At 39.4% G+C, this 27760-nt stretch overlaps 1 protein-coding gene across 3 annotated transcripts, besides 1 other annotated feature; it reads left to right on the forward strand.

Moving 5' to 3' along the window:
- Positions 246 to 465: an enhancer, noted in NCBI's record as "active region_7793". NCBI's record gives its function as "activates an Ori minimal core promoter by ATAC-STARR-seq in GM12878 lymphoblastoid cells {active_cell/tissue: GM12878}" and the evidence as "EXISTENCE:reporter gene assay evidence [ECO:0000049][PMID:35858748]".
- On the forward strand, positions 421 to 26669 carry HNRNPA1L2 (heterogeneous nuclear ribonucleoprotein A1 like 2). Of its 3 annotated transcripts, NM_001011724.3 has the most exons (7): positions 421 to 578; positions 4885 to 5160; positions 10334 to 10474; positions 12115 to 12255; positions 15318 to 15390; positions 20201 to 20342; positions 25302 to 26669. In NM_001011724.3, the coding sequence occupies exon 7, from the start codon at positions 25389 to 25391 to the stop codon at positions 26349 to 26351; it is 963 nt and encodes a 320-aa protein (NP_001011724.1). In that variant the 5' UTR covers positions 421 to 578; positions 4885 to 5160; positions 10334 to 10474; positions 12115 to 12255; positions 15318 to 15390; positions 20201 to 20342; positions 25302 to 25388; the 3' UTR covers positions 26352 to 26669. The 3 variants fall into 3 exon arrangements, with proteins under 3 accessions (NP_001011724.1, NP_001011725.1, NP_001376249.1); NM_001011725.3 differs by lacking the exon at positions 12115 to 12255; NM_001389320.1 differs by lacking the exons at positions 421 to 578; positions 4885 to 5160; positions 10334 to 10474; ... (1 more) ...; positions 15318 to 15390; positions 20201 to 20342 and having other exon boundaries at positions 25327 to 26669.
- The last annotated feature ends 1091 nt before the right edge of the window (positions 26670 to 27760 follow it).

The following is a 27760-nucleotide window of genomic DNA, read 5'->3' on the forward strand; positions in this document are numbered from 1 at the left end:
GAACTGGTTGAACACGGGAGGCGGAGGTTGCAGTGAGCTAAGATCGCGCCACTGCGCTCCAGCCTGGGCGACAGAGGGAGAGTCAGTCTCAGAAAAACAACAACATAAAAACAGACTGATCATCTGTAGTTTTTGCACAACTGATCACGCCCTCCACTATCTTGTTCGGCGGTCTCGGCGGTCTGGAATCCTCCTAGGCCAGCGAACCTTACTGAACACTGGCGAGGACTCCGCCTCTAGGAATAGAATCGCGGGGTAGGTGGGGTCGTCTGGAGGTAGCTGGCTCCGCCCGGCCCGCGGGCGAGTCCGGAATACAGTTACCCACCTCAGTTGCCCACCGGAAAGCAAAGGGAGAGGAACCCGCCAGACCAGAAACGGAAGAGAGCGCGGGGGATGTGTTTGGCGTGGGGCGCACTGTTCAGTTGCTCTCCTGGATGGCTTTATGTCTCCGCGGTGTTTCCTAGAGTCTCGGCGTTTCTACCTCTTCGCACCCTTTCCTGCCACCCTTTGTCCCCTGGAAGCCCGGAGACATCAGCGGCTGCAATTTTGCTACTCGCTGCTCGGCGTGGAACTGTCAGGTACCGCAGTTCAGCACTTTTGGCTCCGCAGGTCCTCGGGCATCCCTGTGCCCCGTGCTGTACATTCAGTTATCCTCCAACTTCCTGGTGTCGATGTTATTACCTGCTGGGTTTTAGAAGCTATTGCTTTAAATCTGAGAAAAGAAAAATCCCAGAAAGATAAGATGACTTGCCCAAGGAAACATAGCGTGCGTGGAAGACAGAGCTCCAATTACAAGCCGGGTCGCTGTGCCTCATTCGTCTTGTCATCAACTCCTGTCAGTTTATCCAAGCTCCAAAAGCGAAGTTGTTTTAGCTTTTGCTTCCCAAGATTTATGTGATAGTCTCATTTCTGTTTCCTTCATTTATTCTTTAGTTCATTATTGGAAAACTTTACAGCGTGCCAGTACTGGTCATAAACCCCAAGTAAGACAGTCTTGTCATCACGGAGCGTGTAGTTCCAGCAAGTAGACAATTTAAGTGCTGTGTAGTGAAGTAATTGCTGAGATAGTGTATGGAAGCACAGAGTACACCATTCATCCAACAAGTAATTGCTGGAGGAGCAAATAGGGACACCTAACCATTGCAGGGGCGACTCAGGATATCCTTTCTGGAAGAAAAGTCTGATGAAATCTGAAGGACCACTGGTTGAAGTTAGCCAGGAAAGAAAACGTGTTGCAGCATACTTGGTTTTGCTGTTTATCCTCCGAGTACTTTATTGTTATGAAAGCCTAATTCCACTGTGTAACTTCCATGCATAACACTCAGAAGCCAGTTAAGTACAGTGCTGAAGCAGGTTAGTAGCAGTGAAGATGGGAAGGACCAGCTGAATGGAGGAGAAAAATTGCCCAGGTAGAATTAAGGGGATGTGACATCATGGGATAATGGTAGGGTGGTCAGAGATAGCAAAGATTTCAACTGGCTGCTTTGGAGGATTATGGTATCCTTAACGTTAGCAGAAGAATGCAGATCCGGGGTTGAGAAAGATTTTTACGTATGTTATAATTTTTGGAAAACAGAAAAAATCTGTTTATGTCAGGGGGCATTTTAATATAGAAGTGTGAAAAATGGAAAATCAGTCTGAAAGGGGACGTCTTAAATGTCGTTTTGAAGGTGTTGCATTTGAAGTACTGATGAGATACTGTCAGTGGAAACAAACTCAGGTGGGAGGTTAGGTTTAGAATTTTATGTTAGTGTTATGGAGTTACTTATACATAATTTTCCTGTAATGTAGATTGCTTTCTGTGGTATGAAAGCAGTCTTGAAAGGAAACATTGTAGTAAAGATTATATGTGAGATTCATTCCCCTGATTACCACCTTTCTGTTAAAGTACCTTTAATATTAACTTTATTTTCTTTTTTTGAGACGGAGTTTTGCTCTTGTTGCCCAGGCTGGAGTGCAATGGCACGATCTCGGGTCACCACAATCTCCGCCTCCCGGGTTCAAGCGATTCTCCTGCCTCAGCCTCCTGAGTAGCTGGGATTACAGGCATGCCCCAGCTAATTTTGTATTTTTAGTAGAGATGGGGTTTCTCCATGTTGGCCAGGCTCCAACTCCCGACCTCAGGTGATCGGCCCGCATTGGCCTCTCAAAGTGCTGGGATTACAGGCATGAGCCACCACGCCCGGCCAACTTTATTTATTGTTATTATTATTACTAATTATTTTTGAGATGGAGTCTCACTCTGTGGCCCAGGCTGGAGTACAGTGGCAGGATCTTGGCTCGCTGCAACCTCTGCCTCCCTGGTTCAAGCGATTCTTGTGCCTCAGCCTCCTGAATAGCTGGGACTACAAGCGTACGTTACCACGCCTGGCTCATTTTTGTATTTTTAGTAGAAACGGAGTTTCACTGTGTTGGCCAGGCTGGTCTCGAACTCCAGACCTCAGGTAATCCATCCGCCTCGGCCTCCCAAAATGCTGGGATTACAGGCGTGAGCCGCTGCACCTGACCAGTGTTAACTTTAAGTGTAGAATAATAGGCTGGGCGTGGTGGCTCACGCCTGTAATCCCAACACTTTGGGAGGCTGAGGCAGGCGGATCACAAGGTAAGGAGATCCAGACCATCCTGGCTAACATGGTGAAACCCCGTCTCTACTGAAAACACAAAAAATTAGCCGGGCGTGGTGGCGGGCACCTGTAGTCCCCGCTACTCGGGAGGGTGAGGCAGGAGAATGGCGTGAACCCGGGAGGCGGAGCTTGCAGTGAGCTGAAATCGCGCCACTGCACTCTAGCCTGGCGACAGAGCGAGATTCCGTCTCAAAAAAAAAAAAAAAAAAAAAAAAGAATAATAATTATTTTCTTAGATTGTACCATATATTGAATATTATGAGAGTCCTGTGTACTTATTATGAGGATACTAGTTTGGCAATTGTTTTTTCATTCTAATTTTAAAGTGCCTGATTTGATAGCCTCTGACGTTTTCATAAGCAGATCAGATAGTTTCAGCATTTTTTGAAATTGCCGTTTTCTCTTTCATGCAAGTGTCCTTAGCCTGTGGCTACTATTTTCTGGCTTTGAGAACTTGATATAGTATTTAACCTAAGGTCTGATACAGGCTCTTGAGCTCACCTGCATCAGAAGCACCTGGGTCTTATTTAACATGCTGATTCCTGAACCCCATTCCAAACTTACAAACTAAGAATCTTAGGAATCTGTGTTTTAAGTCAGCTGCCTATGTGATTTGTATAACCTCTAGAGATTCATAACCACTGACCTAACGTCTGTGGGCAGCAGTTTGTTCTGTAAAACGAGAATAATAAAACCTATCCTTTAAGATTGTAAGGATTAAGTAACATAGGTAACATAGCTACTGTAATGTGGTCCCCTGATCAGCAGAATTAGCAACACCTGGGAGCTTGTTAGAAATGCAAATTCTCAAGTGTCTCCTGGAAACAGCTACTGAATCAGAGTAGTTTGGTGGGACCAAAGAATCTGTATTTTAGCAAGGAGCATAGATACTTTCTGTGGGCCAGGCACAGTGGCCCAGGCATGTAATCCCAGCACTTAGGGAAGCCTAGGTGGGTGGTGGGAGTTCTAAGTGGGCAGATCCCAGGAGTTCCTGTGCAACATGGGAAACCCATTTCTACAAAAAATTAGTCCCAACTACTCAGGAGGCTGAGGTGGGAGGATCGCCGGAGCCTGGGGAAGTCGAGGCTGCAGTGAGCCAAGATCACGCCACTGCACTCCAGCCTGTGTGACAGAGCGAGACCCTGTCTCAAAAAAAAAAAAATAATTTCTATATATATTAAAGTGTGAGAAGCAGTGCTGTAGCACATCAGCTTCATATAAGTAGGGACTATGAAATTCTTATTTACTAATATATTGTCAGTACCTAGTATAGTGCCCAGCACAGAGTAGATATTCACTATATTTAATGAATGATTTTTAAATATATTATACCCTCTTACTGAAACTAACACATTCAAAGAGTTTTTAAAGTTCTTTAGTAATCAAGTGCCAAAAGAGGTTTTTAACTCCACAGAATAAAACTGGATATTTGAGTTACTTAGAATTAGGACATCTTTTGCATGAGTCTAGTATAGATGTAATCATTTGTGGTGTTCTCTTTCATAAATGTATCTAATGAGGAAAGCAAAAATGACATTTATAGCCATCGATTATTTTCTTTTCTGTTCCATTTTAGCTTAGCTTACAAGTGGTTATGGGTTAAGTGGCATGTAGCTTGATGAGAATGTTGATCAGATTAAAACAAGACCCACTCAGTTTTTTTTAAAGTAATCTTTTTGATAGAAATTTATTTTTGTATTATTTAATTATAACTTTTTAAAGAGGTGTTATGTTAAGATCAAGGACTTGCAGTCAGTCAGATCTGGGTTTGAGAATAATAAATTGTCATTTATTAACCATGTCAGAGTTTTTCTACCGAACTCTGGGGTAAATGGTGGGAAGGAACAGATTTGGGAGCACCAGCACCCCCAGGCCTCCCCTGGCCACCCCAAGGAGCAGGTGATCAATATCTCAGCATACCTCTACTTATTTGTGGCACCCCAGTGTGTCTTAGGCCTTAATGGGCTGTGAGGTGCATGACCTTAGGTAAGTTACTTCTCTGATTTTCAGTTTCCTTATCTGCAAAATGGAGACCTTAGGGAGTTAATGTGGGTATGAGAAATGTGCATAAAACATATTGCACGAGGTTGAGGCATATAGTATGTGCTAATAAATGGTAAGTTGCTGCTGCTATGGTTGTTAATAATTATAAAAAGCAAATGGAAAGGGCTTGAATTGAAAAAAAATTTAGATACACGGTTTTTTGCTTTATTAGCCTGCATTGTATTTTTCATTTTTTTTCTTTAATGCATCTTTCCAGGACAAAAAATAATATCCAAAGATATTTTGGCACTAACGGCGCTATCTGTAGCAAGAAAGTTGAGCAGTGTGAACTGTTGAGACTTCCAAGGAGACTTCAGACAACCAAGACAGTGTAAAGGAAAACAGAGAAAAAGACTTGTTAGACATTATTAAGGGCACGAAAGTTGAATTGAGCACAGTAAATGTACAAACAACAAAGCCACCCAACAGAAGTTCACTTAAAAGCTACAACTGGCGGGCCTCAAAGAGCTTTAGGACATGCTCCAAAGAAGAGGTAAATTTAATTGTAATTTGAATGTTGTTTGAAAGTAATTTTTAAAATTCCAGTAAGCTTTTTCTTTTTGCAAAAAATGTTTTTAGTACAAGTACTTGGGAGATATTGAATTAATGAAGAAAAAAATATCAGCTAATAAACACAGGGAGTCTAATAATTACTTGAGAAATGCTGTAATTGTATTATATTTAAATAACAAGAGGATATCTGTACACAATCCAGTGAAAGGAAGAGAGAAGTGATCTCATTGAGAATTCTACACTCTTACATACTTATTGGTGTTATTAACTGCTACTTAACTGCCTCTTTAAGCTGTTAATTAACAATATCATTTACATCTTGATTTGAAGGTAGCTTCATGTCTGTAAAGGACTCACTTATTTGAAATTTTCCATTTAAAAAATTTTTTCTGGAATAAAGTTTAGCACGTTGATTACAACTGCTCTGTATGACTTCCTGTGACCAATAACTATCCGTGCTTTCAGCTTTCCTGGCTTCCTCAGAGCATTGTAATTACTTGTGCTTGTCAAAAGAGTATTTAATTCTAAGTGCAATCAGTAATATCTTGGCATTGTGTTGTAGGTTAAATGGCAGTTTTTTTTTTTAATGATACATAATGATGTATTTCAGGGATGTCATTAATTCAAGTAGTAAGGTGTGTGGCTTTAGGATACCCATCACTGACTTCCCTTATCAGAACAAACAGATAATATAGGCTTCTGTTTTCCAGAATGATTTAACATTTTAATGGAACTTCTTGGTTTCTACATGGTATCAAAAATACCTCTGGAAAGTATAATTGGGTGGTAGAGTAAGCTAATTCAGACAATCAGTACCCATAATAGGTACTTCCTCCTCGTCCTACTCTTTAGAAACAAAACAGTTACATATAAGTATGTGGAAGTAAATAACACAAACATATAAATACATATCAAGAATGGCATTTTTAAGGCTACCAGACCTGTTTATGACCCCTCATGCCCTTTATTTTAATTTAATTAACTATTACAGAAATGGTAAAGTGAGTTGAATGCTTTGGAAAGAGTCAGTAAAGGTCACGTAAACAATTTCTTTCCAATTAGGCATGAGTGAGACAAATATACATACGCAGGAGCATCATACCCTTAGATTGCTTTGTAAGCTATCTCACATTCTTGCTCCACTTTTCCACTTAAACCAAAATTGAAAATATTGCAGGATGGGTGTGATGTATGTAAAATATATGCCTTAGAACCTTTTATCAGTGGTCCTGTGTTTAAAAAAGAGGCTTTGGTCCTACATCAAAAGACTGGTGAACAAGGTGCATCTGTTTTGAGTTTTTAAAAGGTGTCTTTTAATGATTTTTGCCTCCCCTCCCCGCTTTTCAAGGACTTCCAGGATGCATGGGATTAGATGAGTCATGATCTTTGCTTCATGAGGCACTGTCATCATAGCTTCATGCATAGCCTGCTTTTCTTTCTTTGTATTATATATTAAATCCCCATTGATATGGTTACCATAGTTACACTACCTCCCAAACTTAGTGGCATAAAACATTCACTCATTATGCTCACAGATTCTGTGGGTTAGCAGTTTGGCTGGAACACAGCGGGGAAGGCCAGTCTGTGCTCTATGATGTCTGGGTCCTCAGTTGGAAGACTTAGAAATCTGAGGCTGGAATCATCTGAAGTTTGCCCACTCATAGGTCTGGCAGTTGATGCCAGCTGTCAGCTGAGACCTTAGCTGAGGGTGTTAGCAGAAACACCTACATGTGGCTTTCTTTGTGGCCTGGGCTTTCTCACCGCATGGTGGCTGGGTTCCAGGGTGGGTGTCTCAAGAGAAAGTGAGCCAAGAGGAAGTTGTATTTTGTTTTGTTTTGTTTTGTTTTTGAGATGGAGTCTCGCTCTGTCACCCAGGCTGGAGTGCAGTGGCGCGGTCTTGGCTCACTGCTATCTCCACCTCCTGGGTTCAAGCAGTTCTCTGCCTCAGCCTCCCGAGTAGCTGGGATTACAGGTGCCTGCCACCATGCCTGGCAAATTTTTGTATTTTTAGTAGAGATGGGGTTTCACCATGTTGGCCAGGCTGGTCTTGAACTCCTGACTTTGTGATCCACCCTCCTCGGCCTCCCCAAGTGCTGGGATTACAGGCACGCCACCGTGCCTGGCCAGTTGTATTTTCTTTTTAATGACCTAGCCTTGTAATAAGATTGGACATTACCATGTTTACCCTCTTCCACATTGATTTTCCTAGGATATTTGTTTTTACCACAACCACTTCTGAGACACCGTCTTAACAAGGATAATGTCATTGATAGGAATGGAGTAATATACATTTGGCCCTCTGTATGCGTAGGTTCTGCATCCACAGATAACTTCTGATAACGTTTTTTAAGAAACACAGAAAAAAATACCAATTAAAAAATACAGTATAACAACTACTTATGTAGCATTTGTTATATTAGGTATTACAAGTAATCTAGAGATGATTTAAAAGTATTCTCGAGGGGCCTGGAGCAGTGGCTCATGCCTGTAATCCCAGCACTTTGGGAGGCCAAGGTGGGCAGATCACTTGAGGTTAGGAGCTGAGACCTACCTGATCGACATGGTGAAACCCTGTGTCTATCACAAAAATACAAAAATTAGCCGGGTGTGGTGGCATGGGACTGTAATCGCAGTTACTCGGGAGGCTGAGGTGGGAGAATCCCTTGAACCCGGGAGGTGGACAATGCAGTGAGCCGAGATTGTGCCAGTGCACTCCAGCATGGGCAACAGAGTGAGACCCTATCTCAAAATAAAAAAAAAAGTTATGAAGGGGAAAAGTATGTATTCATGAAATAGTTTTAATTACAGGATTGAATAGATTGTTAAAAGATACTTTTTTTTTTTTTGAGATGGAGTCTTGCTGTTTTTTGCCCAGGCTGGAGTGCAGTGGTGTGATCTCGGCTTACTGCAACCTCCGCCTTCTAGGTTGAAGCGATTCTCCTTCCTCAGCCTCCTGAGTAGCTGGGATTACAGGTGCACTCCACAATGCCTGGCTAATTTTTTTGGTTTTAGTAGAGATGGGGTTTCACCATGTTGACCAGGCTGGCCTCGAACTCCTGACCTCAGGTGATCCACCTGCCTCGGCCTCCTAAAGTGCTGGGATTACTGCCATGAGCCACCACGAAGCCCTGAAAGATACTTTAACAAGTTCTCATTACATTGTTAAAATCTATGAAGAAAGATCCTTGTATGTAAAAATTATCTTGTTCAATGACACAGGCTCCCTACAATTTTTATTAATTAGAACTTTATAAATTATAAAGCCAGAGACTATAACTATGAAGGAAATTATTGTTATGAAATGCATGATTCTGAAAAATGAATATTCACCTATGTTCTGTGCCTACTCTGATCAAATACATATATTAAAATTTGAAAATGAAGTTTACAAGTGGTTTATGAAAGAAATAACAATGATGTGGAATACGGTTAAAGCTTTATTCACAGATAACAGTTCTGAAAGTACATTTCATTTTAACTATTATATTTCCTTTTTTCTTTTTCTTTTTTTGAGACAGGGTGTTGCTCTGTGGCCCATTCTGGAGTGTGGTGGAACAATCATCACTCACTGCAGCCTCAACCTCCCAGGCTCAAGTGATCCTTCCACTCAACCTCTCAAGTAGCTGGGACTGTAGGCATGTGCCACCACTCCTGGCTAATTTTTTTTTTTCTTTTTGTGGAGATGGGGTTTTGCCATCTTGCCCAGGCTGGTCTTGAACTCTTGAGCTCAAGCGATCCTCCCTCCTTGGCCTCCCAGAGTGCTGGAATTACAGGCATGAGCCACCATGCTGAACCCCTTTTTTCATTCTTCTATTTTTCTTCCATTCCTATCAGATTTTAGATCTTCCATATATATCTCAATTAAGTCCTTAAAATCTTTCTCCAAGAACTTTAGGAATTTGGGAGCTTTAATTTGAATATTAGGTAATAGATCATAATACAGAAAGCCAGGCATAATAAAATATTAATTTGGGTCCCACTTATTGAGATGGCAGTTCTCAGTGAGTTTAAAAATGTCGCAAATAGCCAGGTATGGTGACAGATGCCTGTAGTCCAAGCTACTCAGGAAGATGATGTGGGAGGATTGCTTGAACCCAGGACTTCGAGGCCAGACTTCACGACATACTGAGATCCCATCTCTTAAAAAAAAAAAAAAAAAAGGAAACAATGTTGTATACAGTTTACTTTCTTTTCATAATAGGATGTTTTTATATTAACTTGCTCTAATTTATTTAGGAAGCTTTTAAAAGCTTTTTCTTATGAAAAATTTAAAATATACGCAAAGTACGCAAAATGGTACAGTGAACCCCTTTATACTGTCACCCAGCTTCAACAATGATCAACATTTTACTATTCTTGTATTATATATACCTTCACCCAGTTTTCATCTCCTACTTGATAATGATTGATGGCTTTTTTTTTTCAGGTAAAATTTACATACATTAAAGTGTACAAATCTTAGCTGGAGGATTTTGACAAATGGATAAGCCCATGTGACCCACACACTTAACCAAGACACTGTGTTTCCCATTTTCACCTTCCCAGTTAGTAGCCTTCTGTCCTGAGGCAATTGTTGTCTTGATTGTTTTTTCACCTCAGATTAGTTTTGCCTGTTCTGGCACTTGACAGCAATGGAATCATACAGAATATATTCTGTGTCCAACTTCTTTCACTTGCTCTAATATCTGTGAGAATCATTCATGTTGGCATGAGCTGAGTACTCTTCCATTGTTTGGATATCTGACAATTTGTTTTTTCATTCTAACAACAGACCTTAGGTTGGTTCCAGTTTGGGGCTATTATGAGTAAAGCTTCTGTGAACAGGTTAAGCTGCCTTAATATTTGCTTGCAATATATATTGTTTTTGAAATACAATAGCATCTAATTGAAAATTCCACTAATTTATAATTTTTGAGGCTGATCCCTCATCCCTCCACCTTAATATATTGTTCTGAATTAGCATTTCAAAGTTTATATAAAACTGGTACCTAATAGTTGAGAATTCCTGCTTTTGTCAGATATTGAATTGAATGATACTTTTTTGATCAACAGAAAATTTTCCCCCCAAAATCATTTTGCTTTTCACTAAACTACTGGCATAATAAGCAATCTCTCTTTTTTCTTTCTCATTTGGTTTTCATTTTCTTTTTCAGAAATGAGCCCCTGAGTCCTGAGTTGGTGGCAGCTGCATCTGCTGCTCTGTTTTGACAAGCAAACAAGCCAGAACTGCTCAGGCAGCTCCGTAGCATGAGGAAGAGTCAGGGGCACAGAGAGATGGAGAGAGACCTAGTTAGGTAAGTGAATCAAACCATTAGGTTAGTAATGTTTATATCTCAAAATAGGCCATTTTCATGTGGCTAGTAAGTAATACACATAATATATACCACATAAGTGGAATTTACATATAGAATATACCATATAAGTAGAATTTTAGCAATTCAAGTTTTTAAAAAACTTATGTCTTAAGTAAGATTATAGTTTTAAGAGACCAATTGAATAGTTACTGTCCTTTTAGGAAGTTACAGTTTCTTGTCCATGAAACAAGGAATGATAAATTCAGTAATGTTATTAAAAATAACAGAATAAGATAGCTTTTCTGAGAAAAGTAATTTTTTTTTCAGTTAAATAGCTTGCTGGTTTTATGCATGGTATAGCAATCTTCAGGTCTGTTTCCTTCTCTTTTTCCTCCTATTCTTATGTTTAAGCTGACATCTTTCCACTTACTCTCTTCATCTCTCATTATTTTATGCTACGTTAGACTCCTTGCTGCCTACATTGTAGTAAGTGGTAACACTGCTTCATTTTGGAGAGTGATCTAAATCTGTTATTCCCAATGAGCGTGTGTACCAGATGTATTTCGGGAAGTTAAAAGAAATGGCCATGTGTGGTGGCTCATGCCCGTAATCCCAGCACTTTGTGAGGCTGAGGTGAGAGGATCACTTGAGGCCAGGAATTTGAGACCAGTCTGGGCAGCAAAACAAGACCCCATCTTTACAAACCATAAAAAAATTAGCTGGGCATTGTGGCATGTGCCGGCAGTTCTAGCTACTTTGGGGGCTAAGGCTGGAGGATGGCTTAAGTCCAGAGTTTGAGGCTGCATTGAGTTAAGATAGGCACCACTGCCCTCCAGTCTGGGCGACAGCGAGAGACCCTGTCTCTGAAAGAAATTATATTTAAAAAAAAAGAAAACCATAAATATCTGTACTGTCAGTTCAGTGACTCATTTTGTTTGTGTTTGAACAAATACAAGGGCAATAAATAAATACATCTATCTTGGTTTTAATTTAGTTATTGAATATAGGTGATAGGCATACAGATACTGATTGTACTTTCTGTTCATTTTCTTGGAATAATTTTTCATGTGACACTTTTATGTTTGAAATGAATATTTCTGAAGAACATCTTTAAAAGACAAGTAAACAAAAATTGTAATGTTCTGTTATGTGAATGTTAATAGATGACTTTTTAAAATTTAATTTAAACATAACTTTGTATGCTGTATAATTAGTGGATAAAAATGAAATAAGAATTAAATGTTATCACTGTCCTGTTTCAGAAAGTTTATTACTGTTCTGTAGCTAAGGTTTCTTTATTTTTTTATTTTTTTGGAGACAAAGTTTCACTCTTGTCTCCTCGGCTGGACTGCAATGGTGCGATTTCGGCTTACTGCAACCTCCACCTCCTGGGTTCAAGCGATTCTCCTGCCTCAGCCTCCCAAGTAGCTGGGATTACTGGTGCCTGCCACTGTGCCCAGCTAATTTTGTACTTTTAGTAGAGAGGGGGGTTTCTCCATGTTGGCCTGGCTGGTCTTGAACTCCTGACCTCAGGTCATCCACCCGCCTTGGCCTCCCAAAATGCTGGGATTACAGGTGTGAGCCACCGATCCTGGCTGTAGCTGAGATTTCTAATGCACTTGACCTTTTTATTATTTCAGTTTCAATAACAAAATATCAGATATGAAAATTGCCAGATGTGCTACAGCTAGAATTAATATAAGGCCAGAGCATCAGATTCAGTTTGACCAAGGCTATGACAATTATCCTGGCCTGGAGAAGACTGCTGATCTTAGAAACAGGTATCAGGCTTTGTAGTCTGCTGGGTTTTGTTTGTATAGTTTGGTTTTACCTTGACTGTAGATTTACCTTATTGTGGGTGTGTATGATTGCTGTTGGATATGTGAGCATTATGAATGCATTTACATCTGTGTTCTTACTCTCTGTATACCACTTCCTAGAGAGGGAACCATGTGCTGGAGTTAGCCAGTCCTGCATTTTTCTATACCTTAAATCAAAATAGGCCATGCTTCATATCTACCCATGATGAATAGGGTTCCTTTGATTTAGAATAAATAGAGCTGACTGAATTCTGAACAAGTGAGTATTTTGTAAGAAACATTATTTTTCATTTTAAATATCAATGCCTAATACTGTGTATTCATTTACCCTTTATATCTCTATACATGCTTATCTTTTGTTACACCTTAGAGAAATGACCCACCATCAACGAAAAGAAAGAAAGGCGTAGGCTGGGCATGGTGGCTCACGCCTGTAATCCCAGCAATTTAGAGGGCCGAGGCAGGCGGATCACGAGGTCGGGAGTTCAAGACCAACCTGGCTAACATGGTGAAACCCCATCTCTACTAAAAATACAAAAATTAGCCGGACGTGGTGGTGAGCTCCTGCAATCCCAGCTACTCAGGAGGCTGAGGCAGGAGAATTGCTTGAATCTGGGAGGTGGAGGTTGCAGTGAGCCAAGATCGTGCCACTGTACCCTATAGCTTAAAATGGTAGATTATTTGTGGCTATTTGAAATTACTGAAGTTCTTAAAGATGGTGAGCCATGTCTTACATAGTTATTTTAGAATCTAAAGTTGTTCTGTATTTACATAAAGTTTCTATTCTTTCTCTCCTTTAAACCCTGAAAGTGGTAGTTGAGAAGGAGGAGCCAGATATTTGGCATGGTCTGACAAAAGTTAACGTGTCTTTTATTTATTTATTTGTTTATTTTTTTGAGACGGAGTCTCACTCTGTCGCCCAGGCTGGAGTGAAGTGGCACCATCTTGGCCCACTGCAACCTCTGCCTCCTGGGTTCTAGCGATTCTCCTGACAGCCTCCCCAGTAGCTGGGATTACAGGTGTGCACCACCATGCCCAGCTCATTTTTGTATTTTTAGTAGAGACAGGGTTTCACCATGTTGGCCAGGCTGGTAACTCCTGACCTCAAGTGATCTGCCCACCTCGGCCTCCCAAAGTGCTGGGATTACAGGTGTGAGCCACCACGCCCGGCCTAACCTGTCTTTATAGCAGGATATGCTCACAGTTGGAGTGTTTTCAATACATTGTGTATTCCGTGGATTTGTTTTAAGTAAAATCAGGCACTTGAGTTAACTCCTTCTGGGTGTTAAATTAGTGATTTATACAGGAAAGTTGGAAAAGGTGGTTAGCAGTTAACACAGGAAGTTCAAGAGTTTATGGTGACTTTGGAATATTATTTGAATTACTAATTTAAAGTGATTTAGTATCTGTTACATATTATTGAATAAAGTAGAAAGTGTTCTTGGAGTTTTACTTAAGAATGTTTAACTGAGTCAGTTAATACCGGAGAAAATTTAACTGAATCATTCAGCTTGCATATAATACTGTGCAGCTACATCGGGATGGCATATTTGATTTTTAATATTAGATTTGATATTTAATATTTTAAAAATTAGGTGGCAAAGGAGAAACTAAAAAAGTAGGAAAGGGGTTCCTGTGCCTTCAGTGTGTTAAAAAGCCAGCTAAAGGGGAGTAAGGGGAAGCAATGGTGAGATGCCAAGTTGTTCACCCTGATATGACTTGGGCAGGGTCTGGGGTATCAACCCCAGACAACCCAGGCCTGGACTTATTGCTTCTGTTGGAAATTGACAGTTCACACTGGCCTTTCTCAGAATGTTGGCACTGCCACTGACTAATTCTGTGACCGGGGCACCTTTTATAGCCTCCATCAGCCTGTTTCCCCAGCTGTAAAATGCTGAAAGTGAAACCTAGCTTAAATGGCTTTCTTGAGGAATAGAAAAGAAACCACGTATAAACTCTCTGGTACATAGTAGGTGCTCAGCAAATGTCCATTCCCTTTCTCTGTTGTGCATTCCTCTTTTGAAGTTCAGTGCTTTACCAAGGCATTTCCTCTCTGCCGTGACTTGCTTTAATCCACCATCCTGTTCACCGGACGTTCGGTTGAGAAAGAAGAATGCAAGGCACTGAGGAAAGTTCTGGAGCAGAAAAGCCTTTGTTTACAAATAACTTGGGAACCTGCTAGAGGAAAACTTGTATGACTTGAAATCACATTACTTAATGTTCATATGATATTTTCATTTTTTCCGGTTCTATTTAGTAGAGAAAAGTAGTTTAGTCCATAAAAAAAGAATTTAGAATTATTTTTAAAATTAGCCCTCCAGTTTATAAACTGGATTTTAATCTGCCAGTAAGTTTATTCAAGTAAATATGTAAATTGATGCATAAAACAGTTGATTATCAAGTTTGCAAGAAAATGTTACCTGTTAACTCTGATATTAATTTCAATGGTTAAAAAGTCATGTAAAGAAAGTTAATTATTTTACAGAATGATTGCTTTATGAAAGGGAATGTTGTGATTTACCTATATAATCTTTTGTAATTATAATTTGTAATTAAACATTGCAGTGTTTCCTGCCCTTAAAAACAAGTGTTGACTCTTTTTAACAGCTTCTTTTAATTATAATTTGTAATTAAACATTGCAGTGTTTCCTGCCCTTAAAAACAAGTGTTGACTCTTTTTAACAGCTTCTTTTTAGCATAGTTTTATAATTTTTCACAACATGGAGTTTTTAAAACTTAATATAAAAGGGAACAAATAAAAATTAATGCTAATTGAGCTAATCTTTTCAGTTGGATATTTTGGAAATTAAGTTGCTGTAACTGATTTGTTGTATTATGAAGCAAAACTTCAAGTGCACATTTCTGTTTTTAGTCTATCAGTCCTAAAAATGTGGCAATTTAGCTAAGATGTTTGATGTACGTCAGTGGAATTATTTTGAATTTTTACATAGAATATTTCACTTAAATTTTTTTCTCATAATTTTGTTGACAGTTTATATTCATTAAAATGTTCTTTTTTTTAGGAAAAATATATTCAGGGGGAAGAGATGTAATAGATTTCACATTATGGCAGTTACTAAAGAAGCACGTGAACAGGTTTGTTAAGAATAACTATTTCTCAGGTGGAAAAATATTCCATCTTTTCAAGATGTCCTTAGTGTTCTGATGGTGTAATAGTTGGATATTTTAATATTCCCTCCTGTCATTGGCCTGGATTCGAATCATGAATGTGGCGGTTGTTAGAAGGAAAACTTGGGACTGTAAATTGGGAAGGCATTGAGAGACCAAAGAATAATTTGGGCAAGACCAGCTTGATGAATAGATGAGTTTACTAGGACTTACCTACTGGACATTTCTGGGCAGCTCTAGAGTCACCCTGCCTCTTATCTCTAAACTGCTTTTAAGCTTATATGCTGGCTGTTTGCCTACATGTGTGCACAATGAAACTGTTTTCCTTGATATGTTTTGAGGTATGTCCTGGGATGTTTGGGTTCTCAGGGACACCTGCTCCTCAGCTAGGCACTATGGCCTTGGCTCCCTGCCCAGCCTTCAGGGTTCAACCAACACACATATACCCTTAAGTAACCTGGTGGGAGACATACCACACTACAGTTATTGACATTGCTAGTTGTGGTTCAGTTTCCCTCTTGAAATGTTGCATTCTGTGAGATAATGGGAGGTGAGTACTACTGATTACATGAATCCAGAGGTCCAGATTAGCCACTAATTTGGGTTAGAACATTATTAATCACCTACCATTTGCAGTATATCTCTATGCTATTACATAAAGACATAGTGGTTCCTGTCCCTAGGCAGCTTGCTATCTAGAAGAGGAGATAGCATTTATAAAATAACTTATTGAAGTGATTTAGTGATTGTTCAGGAGATGGGAAGAACATTCAAGGAATATATTTAAGAGACTTGTGTTTTTTTCTTAACACATGGTTGGTCTTTGTTCCCTATTCTTCCCCTTTTCTTTGGGTAAGAAATTTACCATTTTAAGTCTAAAAGAGAAATGAGTGTCCTCTTGCTTGGCATTAAATTTGGTTTACTAGTAAAATAAATGAAGAAACTCAGTACAAATGGTCTCCAGAGTGTAAGTGATGAGCATTTCTGACGAATAGAAGTTAGTTTTTTGGATTTTGATAGAAATAATGTTGTATATGGACTTAGGAGGCTAAGACAACAGGATGGCTTGGGATTAGGAGTTCAAGACCAGCCTGGGCAACATAGTGAGATCCTTTCTGTAAAAAAATAGAAAAAAATTATCTGGGTATGGTGGTGCATGCCTATAGTCCTAGCAACCTGGGAGGTTGAGGTGGGAGGATCACTGGAGCCCAGAATTCGATGCTGCAATGAGTTACAATTGTGCCATAACACTCCAGCCTAAGCGACAGAGTGAGACCCCCTCTCAAAGGGGAAAAAGAAAATGTTGTATGTGATAGATAAGTTCCTGGGCCAGCCTCCAATGACTCATTTAATCTTTCTACCAGTTATTTATATGAACTTCTGATTTTCCCCCTATTTAATAAACTATGTTAGAGGCTAGATCTCATTCATGTCTGTATACCCTATAGCATCTACTCATGTGGCTTACAGATCGTAGGAACTAGTTATCTTAATCTTAAATTCTTTTTTGAAGAAACTGTAGTATAAAATATACATCTATAAAGGAAAGTAGTGAATTCAATTAACATTTGTTCATTAGAACTGAAGGTGAAGCTAAAAGAACAACCCCCTGTATTACAAAAACTGCATTCTGTTGTGTATGATAAAAAGGAAATGCAAAATGCATAGGGACAATGAATCACCTCTCCCCTGCTCAAATGGTATCCGTTAAGTGTGCATCAGAAAGGAATTTTTTGTCAGGGCAGCTGCTGTTGTCCAGCCAAAAGAGACACTTGGATTCTGGAAGGAGCCCACTTGCTTTTTAAAATAAAATAATCTTATTTCTAAAACTGAAATTAGTTGGCAAGAAGGCATTTAAATTTTATGTATTTTATAAAACAGTATCAAATGATTATACTCTAGTGAGGAAAGTAGCACACAAATTTATGTAATAATTTACTCTGAAAGTACTGTTTGTGCTATACTTGCATGAGTCTAAAGAATGTTTTTTGTTTCCAGTTAAGTAGAAGAATAGCAACATATGGAAACTTAAATTTAGCAATTTTTCATTGTTGTTATCTTACCATCCCAAATAATGCTGGAAATATAATTGGCATTCAGTAATTTTTTTTATTGACCGATTGAATGAGTTATTCTGTTCCATGATTCCCACTTCTTGTTCCCCACTAAGTTCTTACCACTGCTACAAAGGATATAGTCATAGGCCCTACTGGTTATCCCAGAGTCGACAGGCAGTATAGCTCAACAGAAAGAGTGTTGGTGTTGTGTAGGTCTGGATTCAAATTCCGATTCTGCCTCACTAACCTTTCCCCAACTGTAAAATGAGGGTTAGTATGTACATCTGAAGGATCAAATGAGGTCATCTGAAAAAAGTGTGAGGCACAGTGCCTGGAACATAGTACACATTTAATAAATGTTTGCAACTATTAGCAAGTGTAAAATATGATGATCCTAATGATGATGGAAAAGACATAGGTCGGTCAGTGTCCACCAAATAAAAGATAACTGAGACAATTAAGTTATTTCATTGGTGTGATTGCTCTGTAAATGTGGCTAGTTAAGCCTAACAGTTGTGATAGTTACCCAGTATCAGATGAACTAGGCCAAAATATTTAATATCTGCCAGTCAGTATGTGGTTAGACACATCTCTGCACATAAAGGCTCATAGAAACCGATTCAGAAAAAGCAAATAGATAAAATAAGGCTTACCCAGGTAGAAGAGTAAATGAGCTATTTGTTGACATGCTTTAGGGGGCTTGACAAAAGTGTGTAAACAGGTAGAGTGGAGGATAAATCATATGCAATGTACACCTCTAGCCCAGAAAGATAAAAAATGTTTGAAAAAATAATTAAGGATGAAAAATTAGGGAAAAAAGTAGCCAAGGGATAGAGAGTGATATTCATTTTCTTTTTACAACTTTATTAAGGTATAATTTGTGTGCAAGGAACTGCACACATTTAGAATATATAACTTGACTAGTTTTGACAAATAGATACACCCGTGAAACTGCCACTTAGAAATCTGAACATTTTCATGTCCTTTTGCAACACACACACACACACACACACACACACACACACACACACACACACACAATGCAGGCAACCACTGATCTGCTTTCTGTTAAAATAGATTAAGTTGCATCTCTTAGAATTGTACATAAATGAAATCACACAGTACGTACTCTTTTGCATCTGGCTTGTTTCACTCAGCTAATGATTTGAGATTCATCCATGCTGTAACATGTACTAGTAATGCATTTTTATTACTGAATAGTATACAGTTGTATGGCTGTATTACTGTTTTTTTTTTTTTTTTTGAGACGGAGTCTCGCTCTGTAGCCCAGGCTGGAGTGCAATGGCGCGACCTCGGCTCACTGCAACCTCCACCTCCTGGGTCCCGGTTGAAGCATTTCTCCTGCCTCAGTCTCCCGAGTAGCTGGGATTACAGGCACATGCCACCATGCCCAGCTAATTTTTGTATTTTTAGTAAAGATGGGGTTTCATCATGTTGGCCAGGCTGTTCTTGAACTCCTGACCTCGTGATCTGCCCGCCTCGGCCTCCCAAAGTGCTGGGATTACAGCTGCGAGCTACCGTGCCCGGCTGATGTATTACATTTTTGTACCTATTCACCTGTTAGTGGACATTTGGATTGTTTCCCAAATTACAACCCACATTTGGCTATTACAAAGAAAGCTGCCATGAACTTTCGTGTACAAGTCTTTGTGTGGACATGTATTATCTCTTGGGTAAATATCCAGCGATGAAATAGCTATGATGAATAACAGATGTATTTTTAACTTTTTAAGAAGCCATCAAGCTGTTTTCCAAGATGTTTGTACCATTTTACGTTCCCAGCAGCAGTAACTGGTCGGAATATGGCTCATTTTCAAAAGATGTTCTGAAATTTCAAAAGTAAAAAAGTTATTGAAACATGTAATATGATGGTGGTAATTAGCCAACTCACAGGGTTGGTTGTGCAGATTAAATGTACTAATGCATAAAAAAATTTAAGCACAGAGGAAGTACTCAAGTGTTCATTAGCAGTTTTATTGTTATTCTGTTGATCTAACTTCTTTGGTTGTTAACAGTAGTACATTAGTGACTAATTTTGATAGAGTTAAAATAAACAGTCTAGAGTTTAAAAATAAGTCACATATTGTATAAAAAATATTCATATTCATAAAAATACCTTTAAACAAAATACAAATTTATTTTTTTTTCCAGTAGAAGGGGTAGTGATTACCTGGCATTGTTGTAAAACCAAAGTTAAGCTTGCCATTATTGTAGTTATAGTCTTTATTTATTTATTTATTTTTTGAGACAGAATCTGGCTCTATCACCCAGGTCGGAATGCAGTGGCCCGATCTTGGCTTACTGTAACCTCCGCCTCCTGGGTTCAAGCGGTTCTCCTGCCTCAGCCTCCCAAGTAGCTGGGATTACAGGCACACACCACTGTGCCCAGCTAATTTTTTGTATTTTAAGTAGAGATGGGGTTTCACCATGTTGGTCAGGCTGGTATTGAACTCCTGACCTCCCCACCTTGGCTTCCCAAAGTGCTGGGATTACAGGCATGAGCCACAGTGCCTGGCCTAGTTATAGTCTTTAATATAATTTTTGTTGCTGTTATCTCTCCGTGAGTAACTTTTTATTATATACTGTAATTATGAGTGTCAAGGTATTAAAAATACACGATCAATTCAGGATTGGTTATAACATTTTTTAAAAAGATATTTACATTGACTTGTTCTTATTTAAAATGTCTTACTATACAGACACATCACCTTCACTTTGGGATATGGAATTTGATAAGCAGTTAGCCACAGAATATGAACAACCCCTTGAGAATGAGATTGAAGAACTGATCCAGGGGACAAAAGAGGGGAAACTGAGAGTTCCCAATTAATAATGAAGCAGGTAAGTGTTAATTCCAGGGGTTATAAAATTCATTGATTGAGATTATTTCTGCCAGATATTCACTTTTAGAGTGTAGATACTTACATGAATTTCAAAACACTGTGTAGATATCTTCGCGGTGTCCTAAAGACAGTTAGTTGCAGCAGAGTCCATGCAATATAATAGAATTTTATGAAATTCAAAAACCAAATTTTGAATATACTTTCTTAGCTCTAACGGCGATAAAACTATAAAGAAAATGATCAACATAACGCGGTATTTCAGGAAGTCAGGGTAATTGAGTAGGGACACTCAGGGGCTTCGACAGTACTATCATTCTGTTCCTCAAGTTGGACGGCAGGTTCACAGGTGGTCATTTCATCATGCCTTTATGTTGTTTTATGTTGTATATATTATACTATATGTTATCCATATTATAATTACACATATTCTTTTGTTTGTAACAATGTTTCATAATATTTCAAGGAATGAATGGAAATGGGCACATAATGAAGATATGCAGTGCCTAGCCATCAGTAGAGTCCCAGCATTATCAGATTCTAAGATAATTCTTATACAAAAACAAGCAAACAAAGGGCATGTTATCTAGAATGAAAAGACCATCCATATTCTAATAAACTGAGACAATCAAATAGGGAATCCCTCTTTTAAGGATGGTATTTGTTATATGCTTGGAAGTGTTTTGAAGTAGAAATTGGTTGTAAATAAATCTACTCCTTGTTAATAGGAAAGTATAAGCTTGCTTTTAATGTCCCTGTTATCCCTACCAAGAAATTAAAAATCCTGGAGGTTAGTATTGCTTATGAACTCACTTACTTGCTTATTAATGACAGGTGCATTTGCCCTCTTAGGGGATGACCATGGGTATTTTAAAAGATAAGAAATTTGCTGAGAATTCCTTAAATTTTTCTAATTTTTACTAGCCAGTGAGGACATTGTCCCTTTTTTGCAGGTAGCTTTGAAAGATGATACCTCCACAGTTGAGACCATGTTGTTAAAACATCCTTCATTTAACCATTTACACATTTGGTTCTAAAGAATGTATTATCCTTAGATTCTTGGTTCTAAAGAATGTATTATCTTAAGATTCTTGTCTTACCACTATTCTTAAAATTTCTCTAAAACTTGCTGAGGTAATCAGCTTTAAATTCTATAAATACAGATAACAAAACCCTCTTAATCCTAAAGGTGCTTTTAAAGTTCATGCATTTATACATGTATGCAAATTGCCTATTAAATTGGGAAGATTTCATTCTAAGTAACCAAATCTTAAGGAGCTAAAGCTAACCTGCTTTATAAAATATATTAATTCCAGGACTAAGCAATTTCTGAAAACAGACTTATTTACTGTGCTGCTTAATATTTCCTCAAACTAGAATACAAGTGACGGTGGCAGAGGGAGGAAGTAACTCATACTAGGAAGAACAAATAGCTGCTGGAATATGCTTGTGGTTTAGAGCTTCTTTTAAAAATCCTGTCAGCTGCAAAGGAAAGGAAGGACTAATATTTTCCACGAGATCAGTAACATCTTTATGAAGATGCTCCTTTTGAATGTGGTACAGAAAGTTGGAAAACACTTAGGCATGGTATCTGGCATAGTGCCCCTTAGGGAGCACTTCACATGCAGACGGTCTGGGGCTTAGGATGGTTTGACTTAGAATTTTTTGACTTTATGATAGTTGCAAAGGCGATGCACATTCAGTAGAAAGTGAACTTTGAGTCCCCATAAAGCTATCCTGTTTTTCATGTTTAGGACATTGTTCCCATAAATTCATGAGCTATTCAACCCTTTATAATAAAAAAGAATTTGTGTTAGATGATTTTGCCCAAATGTAGGTTAATGTAAGTGTTCTGAGTACGTTTAAGGTAGGCTAGTCTAAGCTCTGATGCTCAGTAGGTTAGGTGTATTAAAGACGTTTTTACTTACGATATCTTCCCCTCCCAATAAACCCATTGTAAGTCAAGAAGCACCTGTAGAGGTCTGCCTTTACCAATTTCAGCTGCGACAAATTTAATGTTCCTGTATTGCTTTTAAATTGGAGAGCAGAAGCAGGTCTGAAACAAATACTGCAGTTAGCTTTGTGTTCTTCGCTATTTATTGAACAGTTCAGAGGGCAAGGAAGCAAAGAGAAGTGCTCTGAGTGTGTCTTTGCTTGCCAGCTCCTGAATTTTTAACAGTTCTACAGTGGCCTTCCTGTATTTTTCTCTCGTTTTGTGTGTTCTCTTCTGTTTTTGTTGACCCTGTCTCAAAAAAAAAAAAAAAAAAAAAATCAAAACTATCCCTTGGGAATACATAATGTTTGTATATGGAAACCCTCATGCCTTTCTTGCTACCTGTAGGATAAAGTCCAAAATCCTTAGCTTAACATTCAAATTTCTCCATCAAACTGGGTTCCTAGGCCAACTATTTCAGAGTTAATGTTGTTCTTGTTTTTTTTTTTTTTTTTTTGTTTTTTTTTTTTTGAGATAGTGTCTCGCTCTGTTACCCAGTCTAGAGTGCAATGGCACAATCTTGGCTCACTGCAACTGTCACCTCCCAGGGTTCAAGCAGTCCTCTCACTTGGCTCACTGCAACTGTCACCTCCCAGGGTTCAAGCAATCCTCTCACTTCAGCCTCCTGAGTTGCTGGGACCACAGGCCTGCACCATGCCTGGCTAATAGATGTGTGTATTTTTGTAGAAAGGGGTTTTCACCATGTTTTCCTGTCTGGTCTCCAACTCCTGGGCTCAAGGGATTCACCCCTCCTTGGCCTCCCAAAGTGGTGGGATTACAGGCGTGAGCCATTGCACCCAGCTGATGTTTTTCTTAAAATGCAAATTCTTTGGTTACACCCCATACCTACTGAATTTGTATCTCATGGGAAAGCTGTACAGTTTGTATTTTTAACTAGTATTGTTTATTTCTTGCTACTCAGAGTGGTCCCAAATTAGCATCTACATCACTGGAAACATTTTAGAAAAATAGAACTCCAGGCCCTGCTCCAGACCTAATGAATCAGAATAATATAGACATTCAAGTTAGAAAAGTACTAGGTAATCTTAATGTACACTTGGAAGTTTAAGAATAACTGATCTGGCCCCAACCTGTCATTTTAAGTTTGTCCCTCAATGTTGCTCTACATTTATTCATTCAACCAACATGTATTGGGTAAGGTATCAAGGATGTCTTCACATAGTCATGGAACTCTTAGTACAAAGTTGACAGAATATAATGTCTGCCCTCCAGAGACACACTGGGGTTAACCAGTGAAGTTGCTTACTGCTGCGGGTGACCAGCCAGTGGCTCTCACCGTCCATTTAGACTAAAGGGATCAGTATTTTGGGCACACCCATAACCATTCATAGTACCTTAGTTGGGGAGCTCTGCCTTATGTCCTGGTATTTCTTAAGATTCCTTTCTTGGCTCTCTTCCCACTGCACATGCTTCTTTGACAATCTCATTTACTTCCATGGCTCAGTCACATCTGATATCCACGTCCAATCAATCATGCAGCCCAGGTAATTTACCTCCTCAAAAGCTTTTAATTTGTCATTTGTCTTCATGTTTCTACCTTAGTTTAAGTTACCATCATTTCTTACAAGGAATATGCAAACTTCTGAACAGGGTTTACAAGGACCAGCATGATCTGTCCCGATATTACATCTTGACTCTCTGTAGCCCTAACATAATCTAGTCATCAACTCCTGAATAAGACATGGCTGTCAGTACTTGGCCTCTCCACACCAAATCATTGACTCAAGATTGTTTATTAAAGAAGGACCTGTGATGCTGTTGTCATTGTCCTTAACCTGTAAACTTGCTGCCTTCCTCACTTTCCATTTATTCTTTAACCCTCTGTAGTATTGCATTTGACTTATTACCCTGAATTTGTTGTTACAAAGGTCACTAAGAGTAACCAATTTCCATATTGCTGAATCCCATCCTTCCTTCTCTTCCTGGACCTCTTGATCAATTGATAACCTTTCATAACTCACTTTTCCTCTAAACTCTCTATTGCCTTCAGTTTTGCCCAATCTGAAGTGCCCAACTGTCCTATCCTGCTTCTGTAATATTTTCCCCCTTTTACCATGTAAAAAATAATTTCCTGATGTTCCCTTTGGGTTGCTCCAGAGACTTTTTCAAAGATTGGAGTTCTCCCAAGTTTTGTCTAAAGGTCACTGTTCTTATTCTCTGTTTTCAACTTGTCCGCTTCCAATCTGTTCTCCCCAGTGCAATAGGAGTGTCAGTCTAATTATGTCAAGCCTTCAGTGGTTTTTTAAATCTTTTCAGATGGAGTTGAGGCCCTATGTGGTCTCACCTCTTCTTTATCTCACCAGCCTTATGATCAAATTCTGCACTCCCAGACATAATAGCAATTAGAATAAGAATGTTTTCAATTGCAAGAAGCAAACAGAAAAACCCAACTCAAAATTATTAAATAATACAAAACAAAAAGTCAGGAGTTTGGAGGCTTCTGGGTTGGTTAACTCAGGAGCTCACTGGTATCACTGATGAACTAGGTTTCTCCATCCTTATGCTTTCACTTTCCTTGGGATATTGGTTTGGTCTTCCAGGATGGCTATTGCTAAAGGTAGCTGCAGTAATTTATTCTGTGTTTCTGTTTATCAATAAGGAGACCTTTCCCAGAATCCCTGAGCAGACACCTCATGCATGGCCCAATTGGCTAGATTAGTTATATACCCCTTCTTAAACCATATTGTTTGCCAATATGGCCAACAATGTGGGGTTGGTGATCCCAACAATGTGGGATGTGGGATTACCACAAATGACTTAGTCATGTGCTGGAGAAACAAAATTAGGGCTTCACAGCAAGGAAGAAGGGAGGAATGAAGTATCCTACTGTTATGTATACTTGTCTTTCTTCCTGTACATACACTAAAAAATGTTCAGGCCCATATGAAAAATGTATTTATTTCCCAAAGAGAATCAGCCAGAATCTCATCCAAATACTCTATCCAGCTTCATATCTAAGATCTCTGGTGGACTTTTTCTGCCCGTGGACGCCGCTGAAGAAGCATCGTTAAAGTCTCTCTTCACCTTGCCGTCATGTCTAAGTCAGCGTCTCCAAAAGAGCCCGAACAGCTGAGGAAGCTCTTCATTGGAGGGTTGAGCTTTGAAACAACTGATGAGAGCCTGAGGAGCCATTTTGAGCAATGGGGAACGCTCACAGACTGTGTGGTAATGAGAGATCCAAACACCAAGCGCTCCAGGGGCTTTGGGTTTGTCACATATGCCACTGTGGAGGAGGTGGATGCAGCTATGAATACAACGCCACACAAGGTGGATGGAAGAGTTGTGGAACCAAAGAGAGCTGTCTCCAGAGAAGATTCTCAAAGACCAGGTGCCCACTTAACTGTGAAAAAGATATTTGTTGGTGGCATTAAAGAAGACACTGAAGAACATCACCTAAGAGATTATTTTGAACAGTATGGAAAAATTGAAGTAATTGAAATCATGACTGACCGAGGCAGTGGCAAGAAAAGGGGCTTTGCCTTTGTAACCTTTGACGACCATGACTCCGTGGATAAGATTGTCATTCAGAAATACCATACTGTGAAGGGCCACAACTGTGAAGTTAGAAAAGCCCTGCCAAAGCAAGAGATGGCTAGTGCTTCATCCAGCCAAAGAGGTCGAAGGGGTTCTGGAAACTTTGGTGGTGGTCGTGGAGATGGTTTCGGTGGGAATGACAACTTTGGTCGTGGAGGAAACTTCAGTGGTCGTGGTGGCTTTGGTGGCAGCTGTGGTGGTGGTGGATATGGTGGCAGTGGGGATGGCTATAATGGATTTGGTAATGATGGAAGCAATTTTGGAGGTGGTGGAAGCTACAATGATTTTGGCAATTACAACAATCAGTCTTCAAATTTTGGACCCATGAAGGGAGGAAATTTTGGAGGCAGAAGCTCTGGCCCCTATGGCGGTGGAGGCCAATACTTTGCAAAACCACAAAACCAAGGTGGCTATGGCGTTTCCAGCAGCAGCAGTAGCTATGGCAGTGGCAGAAGATTTTAATTAGGAAACAAAGCTTAGCAGGAGAGGAGAGCCAGAGAAGTGACAGGGAAGCTACAGGTTACAACAGATTTGTGAACTCAGCCAAGCACAGTGGTGGCAGGGCCTAGCTGCTACAAAGAAGACATGTTTTAGACAAATACTCATGTGTATGGGCAAAAAACTCGAGGACTGTATTTGTGACTAATTGTATAACAGGTTATTTTAGTTTCTGTTCTGTGGAAAGTGTAAAGCATTCCAACAAAGTGTTTTAATGTAGATTTTTTTTTTTGCACCCATGCTGTTGATTGCTAAATGTAATAGTCTGATTGTGACGCTGAATAAATGTCTCTAAAAAAAAAAAAGATCTTTGGTGGAATCCGTAGGCTGCTTTTTCATCTGGTGGCTGTGGCTCTCTGGTGTTTTGTCCTCAACAGCCACATCTAATATGAGCACTGGGAAGAAGACTCTTTCTAAGGCTGCTCAGCTTTAGAGTACATTTCTTGATGGTGTGAGCTTGGTGTCCTGTCTCAGAGTCACTAGTTTCCCAGCCCGAAACAGTTGTGTCTCAATGCCCTCCATCCTGCCTTTTCCACCCGGCCAATTACACACCATTCTAGGTCTGTTTTGTAGCACTCCACTTCCAAATACCAAATTGTCTATCAGTTTGGATTCTTAGTCGTAAGCAACAGAGATGGATTCTGGTTTTCAGCATAAGATAAATTGTATTAGAAGAATATTGTGCTGCTTGCAGAATGGCCAAAAGGACTAGAGAATCAGCATCAGTCTGAGCCACACGGCTGGGAATAAATCCTGGAACCATACTGCATAACTGGTCGGGTGAGGAGATTGTAGCCACTGTTGCCAAGCACTGACACACTGCTTTGTAACACTATCTGCTGCTTTGGGAATTTGATCTTGACACATGTGCTACTGCATCTGGAGAGGATACACTAAGGTCCTTCCTTGATTTGTTGTTGCTAACCAGTTACCAATTTTAAAGTATGTGCAAGTTCAGCTTAAGTTGTTTGGCATTTTCAGCTTTTATAGAGGGAGACTGGCTCAGTGGGAAGACTCAAGGAATTCCCCAGACATAAGAAGGAGCTGAATTCTAAGTAACCCAAAAGAAAGACCTACTTAAGGACAAATCCAGGTTTTGTGGGGCCAAAATTTACACAATTTGTTGGGGTTGTGGGAGTGGGGAGGGGATTTATTTAGGAAAAATACGTACAAAATTATATTAACAAATTAGATAGGGTTTGAAGGGGCTTTTGCAAATAAACACCCCTGAAGCTGTACTTTCCAAATCACTCCGCTAGATCTGATTTCAAGCCCACTCTGCTCAGCACAGGTTATCTCATGCTGGTTACCTCCTATATGTTCTTCAGGCTTTGGCTGAGACATTACTTACTCTGAGCTTTCAAAATCTTCTG

The sequence above is a fragment of the Homo sapiens genome, chromosome 13, assembly GCF_000001405.40.
Source record: "Homo sapiens chromosome 13, GRCh38.p14 Primary Assembly".
Lineage (NCBI taxonomy): Eukaryota > Metazoa > Chordata > Mammalia > Primates > Hominidae > Homo > Homo sapiens.